The sequence below is a fragment of the Homo sapiens genome, chromosome X (genome assembly GCF_000001405.40).
Source record: "Homo sapiens chromosome X, GRCh38.p14 Primary Assembly".
Taxonomy (NCBI): Eukaryota; Metazoa; Chordata; class Mammalia; order Primates; family Hominidae; genus Homo; species Homo sapiens.
Genome location: NC_000023.11, coordinates 3,811,479 through 3,817,515, shown reverse-complemented (window position 1 = coordinate 3,817,515; position 6,037 = coordinate 3,811,479). Strand labels below are relative to the sequence as shown.

General features: G+C 53.0%; 6 annotated features.

The window, feature by feature from the left end:
• Positions 1,008 to 1,147: a silencer, noted in NCBI's record as "silent region_20647". NCBI's record gives its function as "represses an Ori minimal core promoter by ATAC-STARR-seq in GM12878 lymphoblastoid cells {active_cell/tissue: GM12878}" and the evidence as "EXISTENCE:reporter gene assay evidence [ECO:0000049][PMID:35858748]".
• Positions 1,438 to 1,917: a silencer, noted in NCBI's record as "silent region_20646". NCBI's record gives its function as "represses an Ori minimal core promoter by ATAC-STARR-seq in GM12878 lymphoblastoid cells {active_cell/tissue: GM12878}" and the evidence as "EXISTENCE:reporter gene assay evidence [ECO:0000049][PMID:35858748]".
• Positions 2,278 to 2,357: a silencer, noted in NCBI's record as "silent region_20645". NCBI's record gives its function as "represses an Ori minimal core promoter by ATAC-STARR-seq in GM12878 lymphoblastoid cells {active_cell/tissue: GM12878}" and the evidence as "EXISTENCE:reporter gene assay evidence [ECO:0000049][PMID:35858748]".
• Positions 2,558 to 2,607: an enhancer, noted in NCBI's record as "active region_29377". NCBI's record gives its function as "activates an Ori minimal core promoter by ATAC-STARR-seq in GM12878 lymphoblastoid cells {active_cell/tissue: GM12878}" and the evidence as "EXISTENCE:reporter gene assay evidence [ECO:0000049][PMID:35858748]".
• Positions 2,788 to 2,957: a silencer, noted in NCBI's record as "silent region_20644". NCBI's record gives its function as "represses an Ori minimal core promoter by ATAC-STARR-seq in GM12878 lymphoblastoid cells {active_cell/tissue: GM12878}" and the evidence as "EXISTENCE:reporter gene assay evidence [ECO:0000049][PMID:35858748]".
• Positions 5,743 to 5,812: a silencer, noted in NCBI's record as "silent region_20643". NCBI's record gives its function as "represses an Ori minimal core promoter by ATAC-STARR-seq in GM12878 lymphoblastoid cells {active_cell/tissue: GM12878}" and the evidence as "EXISTENCE:reporter gene assay evidence [ECO:0000049][PMID:35858748]".

The window sequence follows — 6,037 nt, the reverse complement described above, 5'->3', positions numbered from 1 at the left end:
GGTTGGTCCAAGCATCTCTCCTTCACGCCATCACTCCTTTCAAGAGCTGCCTCTGTTTTCTAATTTAGCACAGGAATTTAGATGCCCCTAAATAAGTAGGCATCCAGTATCTGCCCACACCAGTTTTAGTGAGAGTACATATGGAGACACTACCACCACCCCTGCTCTCCTACTGCATACCCCACCATGCCAAAGCATGGTGGCTCACACCTGTAATCCCAGTGCTTTGGGAGGCCAAAGAGGAGGAACACTTGAGATCAGAGGTCTGAGACGAGCCTGGGCAACATAGTGAAACCTCATTTCTACAAATAAGTTAAAATATATATATGTAGGGCATAGTGGCACACACCTGTGGTTTCAGCTTTTCAGCAAGCTGAGGCCGGAAGATCACTTGAGCCCAGGAGTTTGAGGATGCAGTGAGCTAGGATTATGCCACTGCACTGTAGCCTGGGCAGCGGAGAGACCCCATCTCTAAAAAGAGGAGAAGGAGGGAAAATACTTCTCCTTCTCAGACCCAAAGTAAAAAGGTTTCTGGTCTCACACTGACCAGAAAAACATTGATATTTACTTAAGCAATATTAAAAGGGTCACTGCTTTAGAACAGGATTAAAGAGAAAGTAAAATCAACATTGAGATAGGAGGACAGAGGCCATCAACTGAGTTCTGATCCCAATGAAGACGAGAAAAGGCTACAACTATCTAGGTTAAATATCTACTTGTCCTAGAAAAAGCCTTTTGGCAGCAACATAAAATTCATACCTCTTAGTTTTTAAATTCCTATGGATGCTGAAGCAAATAACCACAATTTGGGTGGCTGAAAGTAACAGAAGTTTATTCTTTCCAGTATTGGAAACCAGGAATCTGAGATCAAGTTGTGGGCAGGGCTGGACTCCCCCTGGAGGCTCTAGGGGGTGTTCCTTCCTGCCTCTTCCAGTTCTTGGTGGCTCCAGGTGACGCTGTCATAGGACAAAGGGCCCCGGGTGCCGACCTCCTCAGCCGCAGCGGGGCAGGGCCCTCCACAGGAGGTCGGCACCCGGGGCCCTTTGTCCTATGACAGCGTCACCTGGAGCCACCAAGAACTCCGCGCAGGGCTACCCCTGCGTCCTGGGTCTCCCCGGGGGGCGCTCGAGGAGGTGGAGCTTCCCCCGCAGCCCCGGGGAGTCTCCCCGACCGGCCAGGTGCCTTCCCTGGAAGGCTGACGGCTCCTCTAGGAGGCCGCCCTCCACCACTAGCACACACCACCCCCAGGACTGGGCCGCCCAATGTCACAAAACCTCCTGTGGGTCACCTCGCCTGGGGGACCTCGTGCGCCCTCCCAGGCAGCGACCGCAGGGACACGGGCCTCCATTTGCCCAGCGGCAGGGTTCTAGGCGTGGAATGTACACATTGCTCCCAGTTCGCCCGCCCCCTCCGGCTCGGAGCCCGAGAGCCGCCTGCTCTCATTTCAAATCGGATAATAGGGACGCTGAGAATAACTACGACCAGCACCGCGAAGGCGCCCCTCTCGTGGGTCAGAGGTCGGCGCCCCCGCTCCGCAAGCCCCCATCACCTGCCCGGGGACCCCCGGTGGCCTCAGGCCTCCAGGCCCACCCCGGAGCCCCCTATTGGCCCCTAGGCCCGCCCCGAGGCCTGCGGCGCAGCTTTGCCGACGGGGAGCGCCTGCAGGCCACAAGGCTGCACGAATGCCCCCGCCCGCCGCCCCGACCACCGTCCTGAGGCCAGCGGGGCCTCTCATCCGGCTGCAAGGGCTGTGCGGCTCCGCGGCTGCGTTTCCCGGCCCCAGCGGGAAGGCGACGGCGGAGCGGACTCCGAGCCCAGCCGAGCTGTGAGGGCCGACGGGAGGCGAGCCCGCCCCTCGGGTGCGCCCATGGTTTAGGCGAGAGCCGCGGCACCCGCTGCGGGCGCTACTGAGGGGCGTCTGGCTGCGGGTTCGGCGGCGGCGCCTCTCCGGCAAGAGCCCTTGGTCCATTGTGCGCTTCTCTCTTTTTTTTTGGAGACGGAGTCTTGCTCTGTCGCCCAGGCTGGAGTGCAGTGGCGCGATCTCGGCTCACTGCAAGCTCTGCCTCCCGGGTTCATGCCATTCTCCTGCCTCAACCTCCCGAGTAGCTGGGACCATAGGCGCCCGCCACCATGCCCGGCTAATTTTTTGTAGTTTTAGTAGAGACGGGGTTTCACCGTGTTAGCCAGGATGGTCTCGATCTCCTGACCTTGTGATCCGCCCGCCTGAGCCTCCCAAAGTGCTGGGATTACAGGCGTGAGCCACCGCGCCCTGCCTATTGTGCGCTTCTCAGGGAGGCTTCTGCCTCCAGGACCCAGCGGCTGCTGCGGCGGACGTCAGCCGCGTAACCCGTTCCCGCGCAGTGGCCCGCCGTTTCCGCCACCGCCATTGACCCGCCCCGGCCTGGTGCTGTGCATGTCATGGTGTCGGAAGGAAGTACGCCAATGGGGTAAAGGGGTCAGACGGCATTGACAGCCTCTGCGATGGCCCTGAGGCGGGACTAGGAGGACGTTCCCGGTAGCGATTGGACAGGATCTTTCGTAAGGGCGCCTGCGACACTGGAAGTAACGAGCAACTGGATTGGCTGCCTCCATCGCAAAGTGGGTGGGTCTTGCATCCTCGGGCCTAACGATTGGTCTTTCCAAGTGCGGGAAGCGGCAAGCATATGGTCTGGAAACATTTGGTATCGAGACGCTGCCAGCCATAACGTCCGTCTCCCGGGCCGGAGAGGCCCGTGACCGCCGCATACCCATGGTCTCTTGCTTCTCCTCGGGCATCTCTGGCCACGTCCGCACCAGCCCCCGAAAGGCCCGGCTCTTGGCCGCGCTGTCCTGGTGCGGCGGTGAGGGGAGGGGACCGGGGCCTCGGGGCGGGTGGCGGCCGTAGCGCGAGAGCCCTGTGCCTTGCGCTCAGAGGCTGAGCTGCGTGAGGGAGGCCAAGCCCCCGCGAGCGGCAGCCCCTGCCTTGCTAGTTCCCCAACACGCGAAAAAGGTAGATGAGAACTGGTGCGGGGATAGGTTTGGGTGGGGTTTACTTGGCACCACCCAATTTCTAAATCGGTCATATTTTCTGAGTAGTTCTACCAACAAAGGTCAAGCTGGAGCCAAGTGCTGTAATCCCAGCACTTTGGGAGGCCCAGGCGAGAGGATACATTGAGGCCAAGAGTTCGAGACCAGCCTGGGCAACATAGCAAGACTGTCTCTACAAAGTTTTTGATTTTTTTTTTCTTTTTTTTTTTTTTTGAGACGGAGTCTCCCTCTATCACCCAGGCTGGAGTGCAGTGGCACAATCTCGGCTCACTGCAACCTCTGCCTCCCGGGTTCAAGCGATTCTCCTGCCTCAGCCTCCCGAGTACCTGGGACTACAGGCGCCCTCTACCACGCCTGGTTAATTTTTGTATATATAGCAGAGACGGGGTTTCACCATGTTGGCCAGGCTGGTCTTTAACTCCTGACCTCAGTGATCTGCCTGCCTCGGCCTCCCAAAGTTCTGGGATTACAGGCATGAGCCACCGCACCCAGCCGCAAAAAGTTTTAAAATTACCTGGGCATGGTGGTGCGTGCTGGTAGACCCGACTACTTGGGAGACTGAGACGGGAGGATTGCTTGAGGCCAGGAATTTGAGACCAGCCTGGGCAACATAAGGAGACTCTGTATCTAGAAAACATATATATATTAGCTAGGTGTAGTGGTGTACGCCTGTGGTCCCAGCCACTCAGGAGGCTGAGGTAGGAGGATCGCTTGAGCCCAGGAGGTCCAGGATGCAGTGAGCTATGATCGCACCACTGCACTCTTTGCTGGGCCAGAGCGAGACCCTGTCTTCAAGAAAATAAAAGGATACAGCCACACACAGAGGGATGACCATGTGAGGACACAGGGAGGATCGCTTCAGCCTGGGAAGTGGAGGCTGCAGTGAGCTATGATCACGCCACTGCACTTCCCAGGCTCAAGCGATCCTCCCGCCTCAGCCCCCCGAGTAGGTGGGGCCACAGGTTTGTGCCACCATTCCGGGCTAATTATTTGTAGAAATGAAGACTTCCTATGGTGCTCAGGCTGGTCTTAAACTCCTGAGCTCCCGTGATCCTCCTGCCTTGGCCTCCCAAAGTGCTGGTACTATAGGCATGAGCAACTATGCCTGGACCAATTCTTAACTGGTGACTTGACTTGTTTATTAGTTAATCTGTCTCACTCAGCTTCCTTCAAATGCTGAGCCTCCGTCCTCTTGCTAAGCTCTTTTAAGAACGTTGTGTACCATGTCAACCTGTTCTAAATATTTGAGGAGAGAAAGTTCTAGAATTCACGTCCCCACCAACTTTCTTTTTTTCTTTAAAAAAAAAATTTTAAGAGACATGGTCTTGCTCTGTTGCCTGGGCTGGAGTGTGGTGGTGCAATCATAGCTCACTGTAGCCTTGACCTCCTGGGCTCAGGTGATCCTCCTACCTCAGTCTCCCAAGTAGCTGGGACCACAAGCATGCATAACCACACCCAGCCAATTTTTGTTTGTTTACTTTTTGTAGCAGAGAGGTCTCGATCTCCTGGCTTCACATGATCCTCCCGCCTCAGCCTCCCAAAGCACTAGTATTACAGGCATGAGCCACCGTGTGTGGCCACCACTGACTTTCTGAACCCCAAGTGTATTAGCCACCATAACAAACACCTTTTGTCTGATACATTCTGTGGATCATATTCCTTTTTTATATATAATTTTACCTTTTATTTTAGATTTGAGTGGTACAGGTACAGGTTTGTTTCATGGGTATATCATGTGACACTGAGGTTTGGAATGCAGATGATCCCATCACCCAGGTACTGAGCATAGCACCCCACAGGTAGTGTTTCAGCCCTGGCCCCTCCATCTCTCCACCCTCTAGTATTCCCTAGTATCTACTGTTCCCAACTTTGTGTGCATGTATAGATTATGTTTCTTAGAGTTCTCTAAATAACGGGGCAGGGAAGGTAGTGTGAATGATGTAAAGGTGTGCCAAATTGGTTCTGCAAAATTAACCTTTTTTGAATAAAATATTCAATTTTCTGAAGCGAGCAGGCTACTTTCTCAAGCAAAATTTCGTTTGAATCCTCCACCCCCAGCCTGCAGAGAGAGAGGGAGGGAGGGAGACCTCTTAAGAGTTTTATTTGTTCTCTTGCAGTCTTATGACTTACTTCTTAATGAAAACCCTTATTGTTTTCTAAGAGAAAAAAAAAGAGAATGAATGCAATGTTCGAAATGGGATTATGTAGAATTTTTAGGAGCATAAAGAGAAATTGAAGAATTATGAAAACAAAGGCCAGAAAAGCAAACAGTGTTCTTCCTCTACGTAGCAGCCAGATGGCGTTTTAGGCAAATACACCGCAAACTGCACAGCCAGGTCCCCATCTCAAAGGGCTTTCCACGGAGCAAAAGCAGTTTCGATCGTATTGTCATCACCACCATCAACTTTTTTTTTCCACTCACATGATGTATGCCAATATCATTATTCTCGTTATTTGTATAACCATCATCATCATCAATGTCTCGTGAATTTTTGCGTGTTATTTTTAACATAGCATGTAAACAGCACCTCCCCACAAAAAAAACTAGCTCAGGATAAACATCTCTAAGAGTATTTCATAGGAGCTGATAGTTTGACCAACAAAAAAATGTTTTCTTTTCCCAAAATAAAGTTCTGTGGTTTGTCTCAGGGAAAGTTTTTTGTTTGTTTATTTGTTGGATTTTTGGTTTGGTTTGGTTTTGTCTCATTTGTGGGTTTGGTGGTTGGTGGTTGAGTTTGTTTCTGGCTTAAAGGGCACCCTTAATGAAGAAGTGTTTATGTTTTCAGATATGTAGGCTTTAGTAAACTAGCTCACTCTGAGAAATCTAAAGTTTCAATTGCTCTGTGAACACCACTGAAAGAATCCACCTCCCTTCTCAAACCACATTCTCAAGGGCAGACTTGGGGATGCTAGAACTCTCCTCCCCTCTCCCCTCCCCCTCTCGCCTCCCCTCCTCCCCTCCCGAGGCTCTGCTGCCCAACCTCCGCCTCCCAGGTTCAAGCCATTCTCC